Source organism: Homo sapiens, chromosome 4, assembly GCF_000001405.40.
Source record: "Homo sapiens chromosome 4, GRCh38.p14 Primary Assembly".
NCBI lineage: Eukaryota > Metazoa > Chordata > Mammalia > Primates > Hominidae > Homo > Homo sapiens.
Window position 1 is genome coordinate 83,260,327 of NC_000004.12, and position 25,012 is coordinate 83,285,338.

At 39.6% G+C, this 25,012-nt stretch overlaps 1 protein-coding gene across 2 annotated transcripts, besides 4 other annotated features; it reads right to left on the reverse strand.

Moving 5' to 3' along the window:
* On the reverse strand, nt 3,498-24,808 carry COQ2 (coenzyme Q2, polyprenyltransferase). Of its 2 annotated transcripts, none has more exons than NM_015697.9 (7): nt 24,186-24,808; nt 18,622-18,788; nt 13,170-13,291; nt 11,761-11,846; nt 9,534-9,667; nt 7,260-7,448; nt 3,498-4,037 (listed from the first exon to the last, which is right to left on the reverse strand). In NM_015697.9, the coding sequence occupies exons 1-7, from the start codon at nt 24,586-24,588 to the stop codon at nt 3,873-3,875; spliced, it is 1,266 nt and encodes a 421-aa protein (NP_056512.5). In that variant the 5' UTR covers nt 24,589-24,808; the 3' UTR covers nt 3,498-3,872. The 2 variants fall into 2 exon arrangements, with proteins under 2 accessions (NP_056512.5, NP_001345850.1); NM_001358921.2 differs by having other exon boundaries at nt 24,186-24,472.
* Nucleotides 23,875-24,114: an enhancer, noted in NCBI's record as "active region_21686". NCBI's record gives its function as "activates an Ori minimal core promoter by ATAC-STARR-seq in GM12878 lymphoblastoid cells {active_cell/tissue: GM12878}" and the evidence as "EXISTENCE:reporter gene assay evidence [ECO:0000049][PMID:35858748]".
* Nucleotides 24,175-24,504: a silencer, noted in NCBI's record as "silent region_15541". NCBI's record gives its function as "represses an Ori minimal core promoter by ATAC-STARR-seq in GM12878 lymphoblastoid cells {active_cell/tissue: GM12878}" and the evidence as "EXISTENCE:reporter gene assay evidence [ECO:0000049][PMID:35858748]".
* Nucleotides 24,175-24,604: a biological region, named in NCBI's record as "Sharpr-MPRA regulatory region 13773".
* Nucleotides 24,310-24,604: an enhancer, noted in NCBI's record as "tiled region #13773; HepG2 Activating non-DNase unmatched - State 1:Tss, and K562 Activating DNase unmatched - State 1:Tss". NCBI's record gives its function as "activates a minimal TATA promoter and a strong SV40 promoter by Sharpr-MPRA in HepG2 and K562 cells {active_cell/tissue: HepG2 | K562}" and the evidence as "EXISTENCE:reporter gene assay evidence [ECO:0000049][PMID:27701403]".

The window sequence follows — 25,012 nt, forward strand, 5'->3', positions numbered from 1 at the left end:
TTTTTTTGTATTTTTAGTAGAGATGGGGTTTCACCATGTTGGCCAGGCTGGTCTCGAACTCCTGACCTCAAGTGATCCACCTGCCTTGGCCTCCCAAAGTGCTGGGATTACAGGCATGAGCCACCATTCCTGGCCTGATTAATTTCTAAAGTTAAAAATTAGTTACTGTATGCCAGCACCTATATTAAATGTGTTGCATAGTCTCTAAATTATACATTAACCCTAAGAAATAGGTGTTACCATTGATACAGGGCAAATGAGCCCCAAAGTGGAGCTTAGTCCACGAGGGTTCTTGGCTTTGCCCAGGAAAGAAGGGCAAAGGGCAAGCCAGAGATAGAATAAAACAGCTTTATCGAAAAGGCAGTGTTACGCTCCAGTGTTGTTAAGAGTTGTGACTGCTCCTACAGAGCAAGGCCACCTGGTGGGCAGACAGCAGCATTACTTATATTCTTATATAGTTTTGATGATATGTACATGAAAATGTTTTTGTAACGTTACCTCACATAGTCAACTTTTTATGTTGTTGAACAGCATTAATAATTTCTTTTTCTTTTTTTTTTTTTGAGACAGCGTCTTGGTCTGTCACCCAGGCTGGAGTTCAGTGGCGCGATCTCAGCTCACTGCAAGCTCCACCTCCCAGGTTCACGCCATTCTCCTGCCTCAGACTCCCAAGTAGCTGGGACTACAGGCGCCCGCCACCATGCCTGGCTATTTTTTTGTATTTTTAGTAGAGACGGGGTTTCGCAGTGTTAGCCAGGATGGTCTCGATCTCCTGACCTCGTGATCCGCCCGCCTCGGCCTCCCAAAGTGCTAGGATTACAGGTGTGAGCCACCGTGACTGGCCAGCATTAATAATTTCTAATGGTTGCACCTAACACCAGGTCTGACAAGTAACTCTAATGTTAGTTCACCCGATGTACAAAAATTACAAATGTTTACTGAGTGCTTACAGTGTGGTATACTGGGGACATTTCAATGAATAAGACAAACAAGGTCCCACTGATCATGAAATCTCCATTCTCGCAAGGGAAGACAGAGAATTTTTAAATCCATGAGAAAGGTATTAGGATTATACCTATTTGAGTATTTGAGCCACCGAGAGGTCAGGGAACTTTCCCAAGAGCAACCAACTGGTAGGCAGGTGTTACAGCAGATTCCAACCCTGGCAAGCTGTCGTCATGATAGCGTTCTTAGTTCCTGCTCCACTGGCACCCAGAGGGTGGAGGGTGTACTTTCAGTTGGAGGAAACATTAGGGTGAGGCCAGATTATAAAAATCAGGTAGAGGCATTAAACAATTTAGCAAAGAAATCCGGGAAGAGGGAGAGGCAGCCCTTGTGATATGGTATATTGGGGATATTTCAATGAATAAGACAAACAAGGTCCCACTTACCATGAAATCTCCATTCGCAGGGGAAGACAGAAAATTTTGAAATGCATGAGAAAGGTATTATGATTATCCCCGAGTGAGCCACAGAGAGGTCAGGGAACTTGCCCAAGATCACCCAACTGATAGGTGTTAAAGCAGATTCCAACCCTGGCAAGCTGTGGCTGTGACTGGCATTCACAGCTCCTGCTCCACTGGCACCCACCAAGTGCTCTGGGAATTCAGAGGACAGGTCAGTTAGAGCTGGAATAGTTGTATTCATTTACTTTTTAGACCCTGTAGCTCCCATCCTATCTCCACCCCCATCATGAAATTGTGGTAGATAATTGTCCACAGTTTAAAAAGTTCTTTCACATGATTTCTATTGAAAAACTCACAGTGACTTTGAAGCAGAAGAGTAGGGCAAGGGCCCTCCTCACTGAATAAATTCCCACGGCAATGCTGGTCATTTCAACTATCACAAACTCCTGGCAATGCTCATTTCAACTCTCCTAGGGACTGACACTCCTGATCTAGATGGATGACTGCTGTGTGTCTTTCCAACTCGAGTTGTCTTAAGTCTGTGATTCTAGAGACTAATAATCTACTTCATCGTTTTTTCTTTTCCAAAAATCTGTTCCTTACCCATTTATATTATTTTTTCAGCGTTTTCTACTGGGAGAAGGGAGGAAAAATGAAAAAGAACTAAAATAATTCAATTATGTTTAAGCAGCTTTTTGAGAATAAGCTTTTTGAGTATGTATGAATTAATGTTATGTTCTCTTGTCCCCTGTATCACAAAAAAGCTGCAGGATTTTTAGTGATTTTAAAATCTGTTCCATTTTTAACTTTCATAAACTAAGGAGAATGTTGTAAAATTGAAGTACATTGTACTCACCCTTCTTTAATTGGAACCAGTGCAATGGGTTAAGATGTTTTAAGCATTTTAAAATATAGGGTCGTATCTGTAAGAAAACAGAAATCAACATAGATTTAAACTCTGTCTATTCTGTTAAAATCAAAGCCAATCATATTTCCTCAAAAGTAGGGTACTATGTTCCTAATTCTTCTCCCCTTCAACTCACTGCTGCTATAGCAAAGTTACAGCTGCAACAACTGACCCAAGTCATTTTCAGTGGCTCAGTATTTGCTGAGTAAACAGTTAAATAATTTTTCCTATGCTTATCAGTGCCTGGCATATGTAAGTGCTGTTAGCTGCATCATCATCTTCATCATCACCATCATCGTCGCCCTCATCATGCAATTTTATATTTACTGCTGCCCACACCCACATATACAAATGACTGTCTGCCCTATAGCCTACTGTCTATGAGAGCAATTTAAATCAAGTAAGATATAGTTCAGGTTGCTAATATTAAGAGCTGAAGAGAAAAAAAAAAGCAAGGGGACAGAAGTATGGGTGGTATTTGCAGGTGAGATTTTTGAAGATGGCTAAGAAAAGCCTCTTAGAGAAGGTGACATTTAAGAAAGGTTCTGCAGTGAAGGAGTAAGACATGATCTGGGGAGAACTTTCCAGACAAAGTGAACAGTAAATGCAAAGGCCCTGGGGTAGGAGTCTGCCCAGCCTGTTTAAGGAAGAGTGAGGCCAGTGGGGCTACAGGTGTGAGTGTGAGAAGTCAGACATGAAGCCAAGTCATGGAGGGCCTGGCAGGTGGTAGGACTTTCGTTTTGTACTGAGTGACCTAGGGAGATCCTGGAGGGTTCTGGGGAGAGGAATGACATGACCTTACTCAGGTTTTAAGAGAATTACTCTGGTTACTGTGTTGAGAACATTGTGAAGGTGAGGGCAGGTAAAGGAAAAAACAGTAAACATTTAAATATCACTATCCTATAAACTATAATGGGATAAGATAAAAAAGATATAGACAGAAAATCAAGGTAGTCTCTGGTGACTGCCCACTTGTCTGTTCTGGTCACTGTGACTGCACACAGAGACCAAATCTCCCAAATAAAAGTCAGGGTTGGTAAACAGTGGTACATGTGGCTATAATAGCTAAATACTTCTATTTGGTTATTTAAATTCTCCTAAAACATAAAAAAACAGAATTGGTTTCCTAAATTACAGTTTTTGGCAGTGACTAAAGGTCACAATAAAGAACAGTAAGGCCCAACTTCCCATAGTTGCTTTTATTTTTCCCTAAAAAAAAGAGTCCATTTTCTTATACAGACATTCATTTATGTAAGACCCACATCAGGCTTTTTCTAAAGTGCCAAAACCCGTGCAATCCCCATAACTTCAGGTGAGAATTATAATGGGCAGAAGAATGTATCAACTAAAATACTCAAGGCCATCTCAAATCCTGAAGAGTCCCTGGTTTCTGTGACAAGGGGGAATTTTGCTAGCAAATAAGTAAAATCCAGGTAAATATGCTCTAAATCTTCATCTTCAGGTTCTTAATTCTTTAACATATTGTATCAGATTTTGTATTCAAATCTAATTATATTTTGTAAAAAATGTTTTAAAAATTCCTAGATAAATTTCATTCATTAATTTTCTATTTTATTCTCTATACCCTTCTTTGTTTTGTCTGTCTTCTTTTCTTTCCACAAATTCCCAAGGACAATCCCTAAAAAAACTATTAGTCCCAGTGTTCGGTTGGAGATAAATTTATTCCAACAATCCTCAGGTCTGTGGATGTCTAGAGTGTAAATCTGCAAGAGAGGAATACAAAGTTGTATTAATACCTAGTCTGGACTTTGGGTCATAACAAATAAACATGTTAACACGGAGGAGAAAACAGCAAATACAAAAAATACAAATATAAAAAATGAAAAATTAGCTAGGCACGAAGGCACATGCCTGTAGTCCCAGCTACTCAAGAGGCTGAGGTGGGAGGATTGCTTGAGGCCAAGAGGTCAAGGCTGCAATAAGCCATGATCACCCTACTGCACCCTCCTAGCCTGGGTGAGAGAGTGAGACTCTATCTCAAAAAAAAAGAAAAAGAAAAAGAAAAATTTACCATATTTTTCACTTGGAATCATCCAAGCTGTTTCTTAAGAATTTTCGGTTGAGGGTTGCATGAATGCTTGTGAGGCAACCCATACTGTTTTTAGTTCTAACGATTTAGAACGTTCTTCCTTATACTGACTGATCTAAAGTCTGTCTCCCTGCAACTCCTACCCTCCAGTTCTGGTTTTAGCGTCTGCAGCAAAGTTTCTCAATGGAGAACAAGTCCCATTTGGGCAGGACAACTCTAATGCAGGGCAATCTGGTGCAGCACAAGATATTGACTGTATCTGGCCATCATCCATATAGTCACCCCTCCTAGTTTATTATAACCAAAAATGCCCTCCCACATTTCTAAATCTCTCCTGTTCAGGGACCTACATTTAGGGAAGGGGAGCTAGAGACCTAAATCTGTTGCTAGTAATCTAGAACAAGCGTACTCCTTTTTCCCCATGGTAGCCCTGCAAATACACTAAGGAAGTCTCACGTATGTTCCTATCTTCCTTAGGCATGGGGGACTATTCTTTATTATGTGGTCTGCAGACTTACAATTATCATGATTTCCTTTCTCTTTAAATACTAAAAGGCTACGTCCATCTTTAAACACTGTATCGAAAACTGGACAGAGAGGCCAGGCGTGGTGGCTCATGCCTGTAATCCCAGCACTTTGGGAGGCTGAGGTGGGCGGATCACTTAAGGCCAAGAGTTTGCGATCAGTCTGGCCAACATGGCGAAGCCCCGTCTCTACTAAAAAAATACAAAAATGAGCTGGGCATGATGGCGTGTGCCTGTGATCCCAGCTACTACGGAGGCTGAGGCACGAGAATCGCTTGAAACCAGGAGGTGGTGGAGGTTGTACTGAGCCAAGATCGTGCCACTTCACTCCAGCCTGGGTGACAGAGGGAAGACTCTGTTTCAAAACAAACAACAACAACAACAACAACAAAACTGGACAGAGGACCATAAATGTGATTTAAAATATAAAGTGGGCTCCAAGTATTTCTTTTTTCTTCCTTTGTTTTTGAGACACAGTTTCCTTCTGTCACCCAGGCTGGAGTGCAGTGGCACCATCTTGGCTCACTGTAACCTCTGCCTCCCAGGTTTCAAGTGATTCTCCTGCCTCAGCCTCTCGAGTGGCTGGAATTACAGGTGCACACCACCATGCCCAGCTAATTTTTGTATTATTAGTAGAGACAGGGTTTATCCATGTTGGCCAGGCTGATCTTGAACTCCTGACCTCAAGTGATCTGCCCACCTCGGCCTCCCAAAGTGTTGGGATTACAGGCGTGAGCCACTGCGCCTGGCCGAATATTCCTTATAGTATTTGTGATTGTCTTAATAATTTTTGCCTTCCTGTACTATTTAATATTCAGGTGTTTAAATATTAACATATACCCATTATCCAGACCAGACAATCAAATGACAATGTCAGCCCTCATGGAGCTGAGCTATGACCAAAAAGGGATGCTGAGAAATTCTGAAGGGAAAAATGGTGACATCCTGGAAAGTCACCAATTCACATTTTAGTTTTCACAGTGAGGAAAACAGTGGAGGGGACACAGCATATGGTTTACTTTACAGACATCAGATTCTGATTTCCTTCATACCATGTTATGTGAGTCTTGCCTATACTGATAGTAATTGGCAATAATCTGTATAAAATCAGTCATCTAAATACAGCTTCATGAATATCTTCTTTTTTTTTTGTTTTTTTTTTGAGATGGAGTCTTGCTCTGTCGCCCAGGCTGGAGTGCAGTGGTGTGATCTTGGCTCACTGGAACCTCTACCTCCTGGGTTCAAGCGATTCTCCCGCCTCAGCCTCCTGAGTAGCTGGGATTACAGGTGCCCACCACCATGCCCAGCTAACTTTTATATTTTTGGTACAGACGGGGTTTTGCCATGTTGGCCAGGCTGGTCAAACTCCTGACCTCAGGTGATCCACCATGAATACCTTTTTGATTCTGTTTAATGAAAATAACAATAACACTGATATAAAAATATAGTCAATTTATTAGCAAGTGATTTAATCAAAATTAGATTTAGTTCATTCATTTACAAGTCAACAATGTAGATTCTCAACATAAGTTTCTGACAGGTAGGGGATGTGGTGTGGGTGAATATCCTGAAATGACAGCTTCCTGCTCTCTACTGGCAGAACTTTGACATGTTCCGCATTTCATGTCTTATCTGTCCTTGGTCTTTATGCCAGCAGAAACCAAATTTATGAATAATTAGTCTACTAACCATCACTAGAAACCCAGATTTTTTTTTAAAAGCTTTATCTGTCAGTTTGCTTTTAGAGTAATTCAACTCAAACCACAAGCTTCAGATATCACTGAAATTTTTCCAGACATGAATCAGAAGTAATTCCAGGAAAATCAGATGGGAAAATTTGGATTTAGGCCTATATTATTTTTAAAAAATAATATACCTTGGCTGGGGTTGGTAGCTCACACTGGTAATCCCAGCACTTTTGGGAGACCAGGGCAGGAAGATTGCTTGAAGCCAGGAATTTCAGACCAGCCTGGGCAAAATCTCAAGACCCCATTTCTACAAAAAATAAAAAAAATTAGCCAGGCATGGTGGTGCATGACTGTAGTCCCAGCTACCCAGGATGCTGAGGTGGGAGGATTGCTTCAGTCCAGGAGTTAGAGGTTGCAGTGAGCTGTGATTGCACCACTGCACTCCAGCCTGGATGACAGGCTGGACAGCACTGTTTCAAAAAAAATTTAAAAATAAAATAAAATACTAGAGCTAGCTTTCTTATAAGTTGAGGCCGGAGGGCAGGGGGGTCTGTTAAAGGTAGTAGAAGCCAAGTAGTTGTTTAAGAAGTTCCTTGCCAGGTAAACACAGAGGGCATACTGTTTAAATAATTTTTATAATTTATACCAAGGAAATATGAGGGACAAATAAGAAAAAGGTCAAACCTGGTGAGTCAGATGGGCTCCTACAGCACCCAGGGCAGCGTAGTAGGGAGCAGTCTGTCCACTGTTCACACCCACTAGGCTCAGTGCCCCCAGCATTGCAACACTGAAGCCGCTGAGCCACGGCTTGGTATTTTCTCCGAACCGCAGAGCCGTTGACTTAAGACCAATCAAAACATCATCTCTTTTGTCCTAATATCAGAAAGAAAAATAAACTGTTTTTTGAGATTTAGTTCACACACCATAAAATTCACATTTTGAAGTATCAGATTTAGTGTTTTTTTGTATATTCACAAGGTTGTGCAACCAATTACCACTAACTACTTTCAGAAGAAATTGTCTTTTAAAGAACATGCAGATATACCATAAGCGGTGAAAGATGACAGTAACTCAGAAACAGGCTGATCAGTAATGAATGTGCAGGCCAATCAAAGCTAAACACCACTGCTAAAATCACCATCCAGCTTCATTTCTATACACCATTATATTTGTTATAATCCTATAATGACTCTTAACCATATTTTTAGTGTTAGGATTAAAATTCAGCTCTAATTCTTCCCATAGCTCCTCTCTACCTCAGAGTTCTCAAATCTCAATAATCTCCTATACATTTTAGTTTCAATCTTGCAAAAGTCACAGATGTAGAAAAATGCTCACTTACCACCTAACCACATCCACTCATTTCCCACTTCTAGCCCAACCTATCCCTTGCCTTTCCTATCAAATCCTGTTTAGGTAGAGCTAGGTCTTGATGATATAACCACATGTAGCTGCCTGGTTTCTCCCAGCAAGTTTACTTGTAAGCATCTCCATATACTGTTGTAAATAATGATGGTCACGTAGTATCAGTGGCTGTATGCTGAACTCTCTGCACTGACCTACCGGCAGACAGCAACCTGACAGGCTCTCTTTTGGGGCCCAAATCCAAATAACAATGACTGTGGGTGTTTCTGTTTTTCCTTTCATACTAGAATCACCTTCAGGGTGCAAACTGTGTCTATAGTTATTATGTGAACCACAAAAGTGCCAATGAGTATGTGGTGTTTTCCTGAAGTTGTTAATCTAATTGGAGTACTGGTATCCTAAGCACTCATTCCAGACCTTACCGCAAAAAGTACAGGCATCTCTTCTAACCTGTAAGTCAAGTTTCACTTTGGAAGTAAGACTGATTACAGATCCGCCTTTTCATGATACTACAAATGTAGCAGGGCATAGGGGGTTTAGTGGAAGAAAACAGAATGAAATCCAGACATATTCTTCAAGTAAATGACTGAGAATATATAATCATATTTCAGAAAAATACTGAGAAAAACTTTTTTGAAAAGTTTATAAATGTATTCTCAGAACATGTACTATCAAATCATCACACTGTATACCTTGAATATGCATAATTTTATTTGTCAGTTACTTCTCATTAAAGCTGGGGGAGAGTTTATAAATGTAAAAGAAAAAAATGAGTTTTTAAAATGGAATTTATCAAAAAGGCAATATCAAAAGCTATAAAAATGCATATAATCCTTTAAGTCAATAATACCACTTCTAAAAATTTAACTGAAAAACTCCTATTCAAGAAGTATTAATGATTAGAACAATATTACTTATAATTGTGAAAACTCAGAAACAAGTAGCCAAAATAGAGAAACTGTGAATTTTTTTTTAATTATGGTACATCGAATTTATGGCATGTTAAATTGGGGCATGGACTATCTCATAGTCCATAGTCTTAAAGTGACAATGACAAAGAATTGGTAAAAATATGGGAAAATGTTCACTAACTACACCAAGTAAAAAAGTTGCATAATTCAATGATTAGAGGGACAGAAGAATGTAGTGGTTAAAAGCAGTCTCTGAACACTGGGTTTGAATCGCAGTTCTGCCACCCACTAACTGTGTGACATGGACAAATACTTCTTCACATATTTCCTCTTCTGTTAAATGAGGATAATGTAAGTACTTTCCTCAAAGACTGTTGGGGGATTAAGTCTGTAAAGTACTTAAAACAGTGCCTGGCACATAGTAAATACTACTTTATTGCTTGTAAATAAAATAAATGAGTTGAATTTTGGTAAACACACATAAACATAAAAAAAATTTTGTTGGAGCCATGGAACTGTGAATGACTTTCTTTTTAGAAAAAAAAAATTCTTCCTCCTTAATTTGGTTCTTAAAGTTCTTAAAAAACAACAACAAATTTTAGAAAAAAATGCTTTCTCCTTAATTTGGTTCTTTAAAAACAGCAACAACTAAACCAAAGTTAAGAAAAGATAATTTCTTTACCTGATGGGCATAAATAGTATCATATATTAGTGTCCACATAACTCCAGAAAAATAAAGAGGCAGGCAAACAGATGGATCACAGGAACCCTTGATAGCAGACCATCCAAGTAACGCTCCCCAATTAAATGTCAAGCCTACAATTAGCAAAACACAAAAAGGGGGAAAGTCTGTATGTACTTTAGAATCCTAAAGGGAAGGAGTGGCATCGGAGTGTGTTCAGTGCTCCTGGGTATCAGACTCTGTGTGTGCTGCTTTCTGTGGGTTCCTTCCTTAAACCCTTTCAACTCTCGGTGGTACTTATTAGCTCCATTTTACAAAAAACAAAACAAGCTCAGAGAGGTTAATTAACAACTAAAGTAACAGAGCTAATAAAAAGAATAATATCCCCTAATTAAGTAAATAGGAGGTTTAAAGAGAAGATTTATCCCACCTAATATGGTGCACGGCACTACCAATAACAGAAGATGCTGGGATCTGAACTTACATCTCTCTGACTCAAAAACCCATGTTCTTTCTGTTACCACTCTGCCTCCCCTATCAGCTACTGAAACATGAATATACATACGAACACTGATCTATTCCACAATGGCATCATCTCTGAGGACTGTAAACAAACACCTACATGTTGACAGCTCTCAAATCTCCACTTGCAAGCCTGATAACTCTCCTAAGCTCCAGACTGCATACTGAACAGTCTGCTGGACTTCTCTGCCTGCAAGTTGCTCATGTACCTTAAACTCAATGTGTCCCAGATATCTTTTCTCAGAAACCCCTTTTCTCCTCCTGTATTACCTATTTCCACTCATGTCCCCTCCTTAACTGATGAAGTGCCTCTCCTTTGTGGTCCCATAGCACTCCTGCCTGACACGTTGTACTGCAATGACCTGTTTATCTGTCATCTCCATCTCCAACTCCTTAAAGATGGTCAGGGTGTTTTAGTCATTTTTATTTTCCCAGTACCTGCTGCAATTCCTAGCACGAAGTAAATGTAGGGGTTCAGTAAATGTTTGGAGTAAATATACCAGCTTCTTAATATTATCTTATAGATAGGAAATGCTTATATTGAGAATATAATTTCAAATTTAATAAAGAGAACATTCAATGAGAGGATCTTAGAAAAAGATAAATATTCTACCACAACTTTCCCACAAATCAGGCTCACATCAATTTCTTGAGTTGCTTTTAGTTCTTTCATTTACTGAAAAAAATGATTCAAAGAACTAGAATCATTCTAGGAATAGAATAGAAAAGTCTGGGAATAGATATTTTTGCAGCAGATTCTGATACCTGCTTACCTAACTATGTTTCTTTCTTTTCACCAACAAGTATGTATTCAATACCTACACCGCACCAAGTGCTATGCTAAATGCTGGGCCACAATTTATTAACTGGAGACCATAGGAGGCTCTCAACGTATTCTTGGTTGAATTAATGCTGCTGAAATAAGTAAGTGCCGGATTAGAATCCTATGGTAGCCCAGAAGAGACTGTCTAACTTCTTCCTGAGAGGCTTCACAGAATACGAGCTGTCTAAGCTATCACATACACTTTAACCCTTGTTTTCCTGCCACAGAGTGCTTCCTACCCCATCCCCCAAATTCTTCAGGGCATCTAGATCAAACATTTTTTCATGACATACCTAGATTTTTAAAAAAGCATTTCAGAAAGCAATGGCCAGGCGTGATGGCACACATCTATAATCCCAGCACTTTGGGAAGCCAAGGCAGGCAGATCGCTTGAGCTCAGGGGTTTGAGACCAGCCTGGGCAACATGGCGAAACCCTGTCTCTACAAGAAATACAAAAATTAGCCAGGCAGGGTTGTCAATGCCTGTAATCCTAGCTACTCAAGAGGCTGAGGTGGGAGGATCACTTGAGCCTGGGAGGTCAAGGCTGCAGTAAGCTGAGATGGTGCCACTGCACTCCAGCCTGAGCAACAGATCAAGACCCTGTCTCAGAGAAGAGGGGAGAGGAGAGTGTAGGGGAGGGGAGCAGTGGGGGAGAGAGGAGAGGAAAAAATAATGATGATGATGATAACCCTAATAAATATGCAATATTTCTGAACTAATAAAAATAGCTAACTGCTCTCCTTTAAAGTACGAAAATCTACTATTGGTTAGGAAAATTACATGACTGATTTGTCATTTCATCTTTACCTATTTACCTATCTCTCCATAAAAGTGTAGTTTGCAAATATCAAAGGAAATACTTTTAGTTATTGTAAGCTCACCCAAGGCTAGTTGAGGCCAGTATGAAATTCTTTTCATTAGTGGGTAGGTGATGACAAGAAGTAAGGATCCTGCTCCCAGAGCTATACTGAAAAGAGGAAAAACCATTAAAGTGATTATTACCACTACCTCTTAGAAACCACGAAATACTTTAAGACAATGACATAAGTAATACTAATTGGAAAATATATTTTATCTTAAATTATATTTTATGTAAGTTATCTTCCTAGCCTTCGACTTTCCCTATTATAAAGGATGAGTAGAAAACTACTTTAAATGTTATAAAACAATCAAACAAAATAATAGCTAACACATACAGTACTATCATGTATTAAGCACTATTCTAAGTGAATCACACTTGTTAATTCATTATAATCTTCACAATGACTCCAAAAGGCAGGTATTATAATATAAAGTTTTATTCTCTTCCTTTTTTGCAGATGGGAAAACTGAAGCACAAAGAAATTAAGTAGTTTGCTAATTGTCATATAGCTAGTCATAGAAGAGCCTAGATTCAAACCTAAGGCAGTCTGGCTCCAGAGTCCAACCTATCAACCACCAAATGTTAACTACCAAATGTTACTGCCTCTCTGAACTGTTTGCAAACATTAAGGCATCTAATAAACTAAGATGTCCTAACTAATAATTAGAGTCAAGATATCCCTCCTTATATATATGATGCAGTGTTACTTTTCTAGAAAAAAGGAAACACCTATGAAAATGTGATAAAATAAGACGTTCTTAGGACCTCAAAGTTTATCTAACACTACCCCTTCCAGAAATAACCTTCCAAAGGTATTGTCATGTAATTGATGCTATCAGGGCAAGGCACGCAATTAAGTCTAGTCTCCATAAAGTAACTTTTTGTCTTTCTTCTCTCGCATTGAAGCACTTTGTAAACCGCAATCTGATACACAAAAGTTTCGTTTTGTCTTGTTTAAGAGATACAGGAATGAGTCCTCCCACTTCTTTCTTCAGTCATTGATTAGTAACACCACCCTGGGAAAGACATAGTTCCTCTTTTTGCAAAATGAATATAATCACTTCTGCTTTAAGTCTACTTTAGAGATACTGTCAACATAAATAAAATTATATATGTGTGGGTGTATACACACACATCCATGCACGCACTTAGAAAACCTATGAAATTGCCTTGTGTCCCTTAGGGAATGTAGTACAAATACTGAAGGTGGTTCAAAACAAATTAAATGTTCATTTCTTAACTCCTTTGGCTGAAAGCATTCTTGAAGCAGATTTAAAAATGTGTGGTGAGTTACTTACACTTGCTAACTTACAGATGCTTAATAAGTAGCAAATGAACAACTTTGTGATAAAGATATTTCATTTTATTCCTATTTTCTCCATTTCAAAGGAGAGATTTTATACATGATGTGGAAAACGTTTAATATACCTGTAGTAATTTAGACACAGAAGAACACCCAGTGCCAGGGTTAGCTGTCCCCCAAGAAAAACAAAGGACTGAAAAGTTGAAATGTCTCCAGCGGCTATTGGACGATTGGCTGTTCTTGTAACCTTAAAACATAAAAACAGATACCTTAGCTTCATGTAATGACTCAATCATTTATTTAAACATTTAATGAAGAGACTGGCCCATGGTAGGCACAAATATGAATGAAGAGAGAAATCAACATTTTAAGTACTGTCAGAAATCAAAACTTCACATTTAAAATAGCTTTGAAAAGAACTAAAAATTCCCATCACTCATTCTCTTTTCTCCCATCCCCATCTCTAAACAAACAAAACAAAGGAACTTCCTGGCTGGGTGCAGTGGCTCAAGCCTGTAATCCCAGCACTTTGGGAGGCTGAGGTGGGAGGACTGTTTGAGGCCATGAGTTCAAGACCAGACTAGGCAACATAAGGAGGCGCTGTCTCTACAAAAAAAAAAAAAAAAAAAAAAAAAATTAGCCAGGTATGGTGATGTGTGCCTGTAGCCCCAGCTATTGGGGAGGCTGAGGTAGGAGGATTGCTTGAGCCTAGGAGGTTGAAGCTGCAGTGAGTCATGATTGCACCAAGCTCTCCAGCATGGGTGACACAGCAACCCTGTGTCAAATAAATAAATAAATAAAAAACAAAGCAACTTCCTTATCAGCTATTTAGCTATAACATGTTCAATTTCCACAGAGAAAGCCTAAAATATTTACGAAGTGGCACAATCTCAGCTCACTGCAACCTCTGCCTCCCGGGTTCAAGTGATTCTCCTGTCTCAGCCTCCCAAGTAGCTGGGATTACAGGCATCCACCACCACCCCTGGCTAATTTTTTGTATTTTTAGTAAAGACAAGGTTTTACCATATTGGCCAAGCTGGTTTCGAACTCCTGACCTCAAGTGATCCACCTGCCTTGGCTTCCCAAAGTGGCAGGATTATAAGCGTGAGCCACGGTGCCCAGCCCTTTTAATCTTCTTAACGGGGTCCTTAACAGATAAAAATTTGTTGATGTGCAAATTCAATTTTTCCTATTATGGGTTGTGCTTTTCGTATTTCTCACAGCTTTCAAGATTTTAAAATTTTCTTTAGTTTTCAGAAGTTTGACTATAATGTATTAAGGTGAGGATTCTGTGTGTTTATCGTGTCTGGAGGTTGCTCACCTTCTTAAATATGTAGGTTTATGTCTTTTGCTAAATTTGGGGCTTTTACAGCCAATATTTCTTCAATCATTTTTCAGCCCCAACCCCTTTCTCCTGTTTTTCCAAGACTCATGAAACAAATATTAGATCATTTGTTATAGTTCAAAGGTCTTCAATTTTTCAGTCTATTTTCTGTTTTCCAGATGGTGTCATTTCTATTATTCTATCTCCAGTTCACTGATTCCTTCCTCTGTCCCCTCCATTCTGCTGTTGGGCCCATCCACTGAATTATTATTACAATTATTATATCTTTCACTTCTAAAATTTCCATTTGGTTCTCCTTTATATTTTCTATTTCTTGGCTGAGAGGTGGTATTTTTCATTTGTTTCAAGAATGTTTGTAATTGCTCACTGAAGCATATTTATGATTGCTGCTTTAAAAATCTTTCTAAGAAATCCTAACATCTCTGCTATCTCAGTGTTGTTCATCTGCTGATTGTCTTTTTTTCACTCAAGTTGAGATTTTCCTAGTTTTTGGTATGACAAATGATTCTTAACTGAAATCTGGACATTTAAGTATTATGTCATGAGACTATGAATCTTATTTAAACCTTTTATTTCAGTTGACTTTTTTTGACACTGCTCTGGCAAAAGAAGGGGGTGGGAGATGCTGCCTAATTGCTACCAGCTGGGGTTACAAGCTCACGTTCCCAACCTGGTTTCCACTGGCCCCTGCCAAGTAGGCTTTTTTTTTTTTAATTATTTTTTATTTTTTTCCTATCTGTGCCCAATGACATTTCCAGATTTCTGGCTTCTTCAGTTCCAAGTCTGGGATATATGAAGAAAAACAAAATCTAGGAAATTCTTTGGGTCCTGAGGTCCCTAGCCAGTCTGCCACCTTTTCTCCACAGTCCTCTTATGTTTGTTTTATGTATAATCTCCAGGTGTTTTAGACATACTTAGTGGAAAGAATAGGGAAAATACATCTATTCCATCTTCCTGGAAGCAGAAGTCAAAATCTATGTAATTAGTTTTAACTCTAGTCAAGAGTGTGGGATGTAAACGTTTAGAGGAGAGTCTGTCTACCAAATAAGATAAAGCAATTCAGAATTTTGCAGTTTGCCTTCAAATATTTAATCTCAAATGTTCAGTTATCTAAACAGACCCATGCTTCATAAACTGTTACTAATTTATGGGACTATTTTTCATTTTCTGGAAGGCTTATACTAAGCTACAAATTTTTTAAAGTGAAGAACTACTATTAACATGTTCAAGAATTATCTTGAAGTGATACATGCCAGAAGCCTCATTCATATATATTTTTATATAGAATATATATTATATATAATATATATTTTTATATAATATATAAAATATATATTATATATAATATATATTTTATATATAATATATATATACATATTCATATATATACATATAGAGTGTACAGAATAAAACTGACCAGGATGTGTGAACCTCCAAATCAAGAAAGTGTGTATCTCATATGTTTGTTGGTTGCTTGTATGTCTTCTTTTGAAAAATGTCTGTTCATGTGCGTTGCCTACTTTTTAATGGGGTTATTTTTTTCTTGTTGTTTGAGCTCCTTGTAGATTCTAGACATTAGCCCTTTGTTGGACGCATTGTTTGTAAATATTTTCTCCCATTCTGCAGGTGGTCTGTTTGCTCTGTTGATTATTTCTTTTGCTATGCAGAAGCTTTTTAGTTCAATTAAGTCTGATTTGTCTATTTTTGTTTCTGTTGTGTTTCCTTTTGGGGACTTAGTCAGATATCACTAATCATCAGAGAAATGCAAATTAAAACCACAATGAGATACCATCTTCTACGCCAGTCAGAATGGCTATTAGAAAGTCAAAAAACAGATGTTGGTGAGGATGTGGAGAAAGGGGAACACTTATACACAGTTGGTGGGGCTGTAAATTAGTACAATCTCTATGGAAAACAGCATGGAGATTTCTCAAGAACTAAAAACAGAACTACTAATTCAACAATCCCACTAGTGGGTATCTACCCACAGGAAAAGAAATCATTTTGCCAAAAAGACACCTGCACTCATACATTTATCACAGCATTATTCACAATAGCAAAGTCGTGGAATCAACCAAAGTGTCCATCAATGGATGACTAGATTAAAAAATGTGGTATATATACACCATGGAATACAAGGCCATAAAAAAGAATAAAATCACATCATTTGCAGCAACATGGATGGAACTGGAGGCTATTATTCTTAGTGAAATTACTCAGAAACAGAAAGTCAAAACCACATGTTCTCACTTATAAGTGGGAGTTAAACAATGGGTACACAGAGACATACAGAGTGGAATAATAGACACTGGAGACTCCAAAAGGTGGGAGGGTGGGAGGGGAGTGCAGGATGAAATACTGCCCATTAGGTCATACTACATATGGGTACACTAAAAGCCCAGACTTCACCACTACACACTATATCCATGTAACCTGACTGTAACTGTACCCCTAAATCCATAAAAACAAAAACATTTTTAAAGAAAAAAAAAGGACAGTGTGCATGTCTTGGCAAATTAAGGCATCCCAGTTGTGTCAGAGAAATGCTTTACCATACAGCTCCTGCCACTCTTCTACTACACCCCATATCCTCCAGCCACACACAGACCATGTAGTTGCTGCTATCAAACGCATACTCATCTCACAGCCGTGCCTCTGGACCTGCTGTTCCCTCTGTCTAGAGACACCTTCACCCTCTAGCCCACTCTTTTTTTGCCATCCTATTCTTTCAGAGTTCAAAGGTCACCCCGGCCTGGAAAGTTATCTCTAACCCTCTCCCTTAGGTTGAGGTAAGTGGTCTTCAGCAAGTTCTCTGGTGAACACTATTCTCAAAAGACTTCTACTGTTTTATAATAACTAAACCCTGAATGTCAGGAATGTTGTATTTCATCGATGCAATCCTAGAACCTGCCACTGGTTCTTCCACATAGCAAGTACTGAATAAATGTTTTTGAATTAAAAAATAGATTAATGGCCAGGCGCGGTGGCTCATGCCTGTAATCCCAGCACTTTGGGAGGCCGAGGCAGGTGGATCACCTGAAGTCGGGAGTTCGAGACCAGCCTGACCAACGTGGAGAAACCCTGTCTCTACTAAAAATACAAAATTAACCGGGCATGGTGGTGCATGCCTGAAACCCCAGCTACTCAGGAGGCTGAGGCAGGAGAATCGCTTGAACCTGGGAGGCGGAGGTTGCGGTGAGCTGAGCTCGCACCACTGCACTCCAGGCCTGGGCAACAAGAGTGAAACTCCATCTCAAAACACACACACACACACACACACACACACACACACACACACACACACACACGTAACACTATTCTATTAACTAAAAATTATTATAGGTCTGCCTTGCTTAAGGAAAATTCAGACTACATAAAAGGTAAACTAGGATCGATTATTAACTTTATATAAGATTATTCACTTTTTATAATTCAATGTGGGTTTCTTTTAAAATCAAATTTCAATTGATTATTTACTCAAGCATTTAATGATCTTGTACTAATTATGGCATAGTTGCTAAGATAAAAAGGCAAATAAGATGGCCCCTTTCCTTGAGAAAATAACTGTCTGTTGAAGAACAAGGAAATAATTATACACATGCATTAGAACAGGTACAAAAAAAAAATCCAGTGAAAAATAATGCATCAAGTTCTTAACCGAAGTTTTCTCTAGGAGATAAGAGGAGGAGATAAGGACAACTTGCACTTTTCATTGGTTGCAATTCTATATTATCTACATTTTTCAGAACAAGCATGTATTATTTTTCTAAGGAGAAAAAATGGGTAAAGTTATGTTTTTAAAAGAAACAATTATAGGAAACACTAACAAGTGCTGCCTTGATTCACTTGATTTACGTAAGAATAGTTAGGGCTCTAAAATACATCTTAAAGGAAGGGATGACAGATCTTTGGACACTTGAAGGTTCAGGATGGATTTTTCACTTTCACTCCTAACCTTTAACTCCCTCACCCTCAGTCTTCCAAATTCTCAATTCACTTTATAATAATAAAGTACACACCTTGCCCCTGGGGCCACTCTTGTGTTGAGAAAGGAAATATTGTACTCTGCACTTTGCAATACCAGCTATTCAACTGATCCTGGCATTTTCCATGCTGGATTTCTGTGGTCACTGAATGATCTTGTTGCTTTATATGGCATTCAAAAGTGATACCACTATGTTATTCTGCAGAATTGAGAAGAGCCTCTCTATTCCTTTTCAGGATGAAATTACCTTTTTATCATAGTCCTGGTCCCACATGTCATTAATAGTACAGCCTGCTCCACGCATCAGAATAGCTCCAGTGCCAAAGAGGGAGAGCATGTACCAATCTGGAAAACAACCTGGTTCAGCTGCCAAACCAATGCTCCAGGTACATGGTAAATACAGAAGCCAGGTTCCTAAGCAAAAATAAAAAGACAAAAAAGGTACAAATTTAAGTCAGTTAACTGTTTTCATTTGTTTAAACATCACATACCAAAGAAATAAAGAACACTATAAGTCAAAAAAACAAATGACAAAACTGAGAAAATAAATTTGCAACTCAAATCACAAAGGACCCCTTACTACGCAGAGTGCCTAGAAGAAAGAGATCAACAGTCCAATTAAAAAAGACAAAACATAATAAAAATTCACATAAAAAGAAATACAAATGGCTCTTATACATATGAAAAGATACTCAACTTTGAGAAACACATATGAAAACTAAATTGAGATAAAAATTTTCACCTATCACTGGCAAAACCCTACATCTGACAACACACTCTAGGGAGTTGAATACTCTTATGTATTTCTAATGAGGTTACAAAATGGCCCTACCTTTGTGAAGGACAACTTAAAAATTGTTTATTGTGTGTTTATATGTGTATATAAATATATATATATATACGTACCTACATATAAAACATTCATGCGTCAATGTTAATATGCTCAAAGACTGTCAGGAAGAACACACTAGAAACATATAATAATGGTTGCTTCTGAGTAGGGGAACTGCATGGACAGGAGACAGGAGTAAGAGACTTGCCTTTCACTCTATACCCTGGCACCTTCTGAATATTGTATCATATACACACATTACCTACTCAAAAAAGTTAGCAAAATTTCCTTTACCATTGTTAGTACAATACACTTAGACGGTCTAGTCTTTTTTTTTTTTTTTTTTGAGACAGCATCTCACTCTGTCACCCAAGCTGGCGTACAATGGCATAATCGTAGCTCACTGTGGCTTCAAACTCCTGAGCTCAAGTGATCCTCCTGCCTCCGCCTCCCCAGTAGCTGGAACTACAGGTGCAAGCCACCATGCCCAGGGAATTATGTTGCCCAGGCTAGTTGCAAACTCTTGGCCTCAAGTAATCGTCCCACCTTGGCCTCCCAAAGTGCTGGGATTTTAAGTGTTAGTTTTTTTGTTATTTTGAACTGAGTACTTTGCAGCTACATGTACAAATGGGGTTAGTTCTTAGTACTTAACCAATAAACTAGAGGAAATTAAGATAAAAGCAAATAGATTATATAAAAGACTTCAAATATGAACTTTAATATTCTACTTCTAAAAGAAAGTCTTTCAACTGATGTTTGGATATGCTGCCTATTAGATAAATTCTGAGCTTTCTTTCCCTATAGAGGGATACAAGAGAAAAGGGATTTGGGGCTAAAGAAAGTTCAGATCCTGAAGAAAAATGGTCAAATGACTAAAGTCCCTGTAATCATGTTTAAGCTTCACTAAGTTTAAGCTTTATTCATTTAGACATATTTATGAAGCATATACTCTGTGCCAGAACTATGCTAAGAACTGGGAATACAATGGTGGCTAAGAGAAAGGGGGCTTCTGCCTTCATGCAGCTCATAAATCAAAAGAAAGAAATACAGTTAAATAAGCAATAACAATAAAAGATCAATCCAACAACAGGACAAGCACAGGGTCCTGCAAAGGCATAAAACAAAACTATCTAAGTTAGTTAGCTAGTTTTAGGAGGAGGGAGAGAGGAATCAGAGGGTCTTTTCCAAAGGGGATCTAAATTTACACAACAGAGAAGTCAAGGAGAAGCCTCAAGCTAAAACCTTGAGAAATGGTCAGTCCAGACCTGAATTCAGGTTGTCCTGGACAGACTCATACTTGGTGCACTCCACAGTAACAATGGCTAATATTTACGGAGTGCTCACAAAGCATCAGGCAGTGTTCTAAATGCTTTATATGTCTAAACTTATTTAATCTTCAATGACATCTTTATATTAAACTTATTTATTTATATATTTACATTAGAGACAGGGTCTCGCTCTCTTGCCGAGGCTGGAGTGCAGTAACAAGGTCATAGTTCACTACAGCTTCTGACTTCCAGGCTCAAGCAATACTTCCACCTCAGCCTCCCAAGTAACATCTTTACATAGTAGGTACTGTTAATAACCCTATCTTACAGATGAGGAAACAGATAAACAGAGTGGTTTAAGTAAAACACAGTAGGTTTAACTACTTTCTTTACCCTGGAGCTATGAGTATAGTTCACAAGGGACAGAGGAGTAGCTGATCCTATCCTCCTAGGCTAGAGAAGAGAGAATACCACTTCACAGCTATTATTTCCTGGTACAATTAGAACAGAAGGTTCCACTAAAAAGAAAAAAATTCTAGACAGAAAGACGTGTAACCACTTATAGTGTTTTCTGTCAGGAACAAAACTTCCTTGGCCAAAAATCTGTATTAAAAGTACCGTATTCACTTACTGATAGGAATCTGTAGAGCTCCCCTACAGATGACAAGGGTTCCTACAGTGAAGGGGAAAGTAAGAAGACTTCTCAGTTCTATGTCTGCCACTTGTAAGTTGAGTGACACTAGACAGTAAAGTATCTTAAGGCTTAAGTCTTTGTTTCATCTGTAAATGAGGGAAGAGAACAGCTACCTCACAGAGTCGTTAAGAGATGACAATATTAATGATGTTATGACAACCGTAATAACAGATACATGGCACTTACTGTACCAGGTGGTTTCACAGAACACTTTTGACTCTCACAACAAGCCTATTCGATAGGCACTATTTTTATTACAACCATTTTACAAATACAGAAACTGACGCAGAGAGGGAGTAATTGTGCCCAAGACCACACAGGTAAAAAAAGGCTAAGGTGGTATTCCAACCCAGACAGTCTGGCTGCAGTCTGTGTCCTAAGTCCAATGCTGTCACTCTGTACTCCCTAAATCTCTCCATACACTTCAGTTTCACCTGTTCTTTTGTCCCTACTGATTCCTAGCAATGTTTTTTTTTTTTTGTCTTCCATATGACACTTTCATTCCCCATACTTTTCTGTGAAGAAAGACGCAGAGGTAGCAAAGACAAGAGACAAGTAGATTGCAAAAAGAAATGTTTTTGTAGAAAAGGGAAAAACTCTATGGGAGATGAAATAAAATGAGCAAGTTCTGAGGGGTGATGGACAGATCAAAAACAGATGATCTTCAAGACAACATAATCACCCATAAACGTGGTAAAACAAAAAATTACACTTCCAATTTGGTGGAAAGAGTGCCACCTGCTGACACTTTCTGGAATAAGGTAGTTTAGCCCATTTGAAAGAAGCTGTATTGCCTTCTCAAAAACAACGAAAACCTACTATTGATCAATGAAGGTAACAAGATATAACTTCAACAAAGTAAAACAACGAACACATAATTATCCCACAAAATAAGAATTTAAATAAAGAATTATCAAACCTGGAATTCTACTCCTGTCAATTATTGTTTCTGGCATATGGTAGGGGTTCAAAATACATTTGTTGAGCGAATTCTAACATAGTACTATTTAGTTTTCTGAAAAATCCTGTAATGATCACCTTATTTAGAACCAAACCATGCAGGCTGGTATCTTCCAAACATACACAATCTGTAAGTACAATTTTCTCCATTCCCCACTTCTAAGATAATAATGGCTATTTCTTCAGCACATATTATGACAGGCACTGTTCTAAGCACTTAACATATATTAATGAATTTTCGTGACCTCATAACGTCCATATTATCATTAATAGTATCTTCATTTTACAGATGAAAAACGGATGCCCAGAGAGGTGAAGTAATTTATCCAAGGTCCCTCAGATGAGCAGGGTGGAGGTTCACATCCAAGAGGTTTGGCTCCAAAGTTTTGCTCATAACCCCTTTGTTGCCTTCTGTTACATGGCGGAAGGTCCAGCCACTAAGATAGAAGCCAGAGGTTTAACTGGGGAAATGGGAATAATGGCAGATGTTCATCTATAAGGCTACACTGCCACTCCATGCCACAGACTCCAAGAACAGAATTACAGCCAGGCTTCAGATTGGAACTGGGCTTGGAAATGCATGCCTCTCAACGTGAATGTGGCCCCAAAACTCATGGGGGTCATACACAGCTTCCCAATGATGGCAGGGCTGTACCTATCATTCAGTAGGCTTTTATGCTTTGATAGCTGATTGTTATAACTTAGTGCTCTAATCCCAAATAGGTCGTGCATAAATCTAGAATACCAAAAGCAAGGCCTAATTCGGGTCTTGTACGGGCAAAAGTGGAGTAAATGTACCTAGGCCTTTGACTACATCTCCATACACTGCAATGGCAAATGTCATCATCTAGATTGGCTGGAGTTCATCCTTCACTTCTTCCTCCACGCTATCCAGCTTCTTCAGATATGTTCTTGTCTAGTCTCGTTTCCCATTTTCCACACCCACTTGGTGTTCCAGGTCAGGCTCGTATTCTTAGTGTTCTAACACTCCACCCTTGGGTCTTTGCAAAAGTACTTCCCGCACTAAGATCTCTTCCCTCCTCTGCAAAATCAACTTGTCCTTTGGAGTATAATTTCTTCTCGAAACTTTCCAGCAAGGGATCCACAGTAATTTCTCTTTTTCCTGTAGCACTTGCTTTTGTATCACTCATATTTGATCCATATTTTCCTAGCTCACCAAATAGTCTTTTTCAACTAGACCAGAGTTCCTTGAAAGCAAAGGGTTTCCATAGCTTTTTCTATCTCTATGGCCGGACAACGTAGTAGGAACTTATTAATTCACTTAACACTACTGGAGAAGCCAATCAATCAACAAGCGCATAAGGTTAGTTAGTGGTGAGTGCTATTAAGAAAAATTGCGGATAAAGCGATAGAAAGTGAGGTTGGTAGGTGTTAATTAAGATAGGAAGGTCAGGAAAATCTTTCTGTCGGGGGCGATTGTAAGCTGACAGGCAGTCCGTAAGCGCTGTCCCTGCTGCGTTCAAATGAATTAAATCTTTGCCTTATGGGTGATGCAGGTAAAAGAGCTCCGACTCAGCATCAAAACACAGAGTTCTTCTGGTCTGGCTCTGACGAGGAGCCTTAGTTTCCTCAGCGTCTTAACTGTCTTAAGGATTGTCTTTGTGGGCCTTACAAGATTGCGGGGAGGATCAAACATTCTAATAAATGAAGGAGGGCCACGAGAACGGAACCTTCCGCTTGAGTCACCATTTAAACAAGTGTTTGTGGAATGAGAATTATCTTGCCCGCTTCAGGTGCTCAGGATGCAGACAGACGTGAAACTGGCGGGTCCTTTAGGAGACTGTCCCGACTGCGTGTCCTGAGGTGACTCGCCCCAGGGCGCACGGCAGCCGGCAGCCAAGCTCAAGCTTTCAGGCTCTCATTTCAAAGTGTCCCGAGGTGATTCGCCCCAGGGCGCACGGCACCCGGCAGCCAAGCCCAAGCTTTCAGGTTCTCATTTCCATCACGCCCCGGCCGGCCGCCGCGGACAGCTCCGCGGAGCCGACTCGGAGGCTGCTACTTGCAAATTCCCGGGCTGCCCGCCCGCCCGCACTCACCAATGGGCTTGTCCAACCGCATGAGGCGCAAGTACGGCTGCAGGGGGCGGGGCGCAGAGTCCACCACCGCCGCCGCGGACAAACTGAGCTGGCGCCCGCGCGGCTCGGGACAGGCGGGGGGCTGCAAGTCACCACCGTGGGGCGCGCCTGCCGCACGCGCCAGGGCGAAGGAGCGGCCCCGCCAGCCCGGCAGCCACGCCAGTGCCACAGCCCGCAGGCCCCGCGCGAACCCCGCGGCTCGCGAGCCCAGCATGGCGCTGGTGAGGCCGGGACGAGCTCGGATTGACGTCATTCCCCGGCAGGCATGCGCAGTGGCACCCGCAGGATGCAATCCTAGTCTGCCAGGCTGGGCGGCGGTGTGGGCAGAACCTTTCCTCATCCTTACTTGTGAAATTGGGGTCATCGTGGTCGCTTACTCTAGGGAGGAATACTTAATGAAAAAGGGATTTCTATTGGCAAAAGGCAAAAAAATTACAATAAATTTAGTTGTAATTTTTTACAACTCGATCTTGATTGACTTTGTGGTTCCATTATCGGGCAACACTCAGAACGGGGTCTCTGAGGAAACAAACAAAAAATAGAATCGGGCAACACCTTATTCTGTAAAATAGAATAAGTGTTCCAAAGAGTCGAGCGGAGGAAGTTGGCTTTATAGACAGAAAAAGGGCTGAAGAAAGCAGAAGCAGAGAACAAAAAGCGGATTGGTCACTTCAAATTACTTTCATTGCGAGGCGGGGACAGGGAAACAACAACAGAGAAATAACGGATTGGTTAACATTAGGTTACACCAGGTTAAGGACTAAAACAGGAAACTTAATTGTCATGAC

Excerpts from the sequence above, each read along its gene's own strand:
- COQ2 (NM_015697.9), bottom strand. The coding sequence starts at position 24,588 with ATGACCCCAATTTCACAAGTAAGGATGAGGAAAGGTTCTGCCCACACC. Across the intron at positions 18,789-24,185 it reads GCGGTTGGACAAGCCCATTG|GAACCTGGCTTCTGTATTTA; the intron begins GTGAGTGCGGGC and ends ATTTTTGCTTAG. Across the intron at positions 7,449-9,533 it reads ATACTATTTATGCCCATCAG|GACAAAAGAGATGATGTTTT; the intron begins GTAAAGAAATTA and ends TTCTGATATTAG.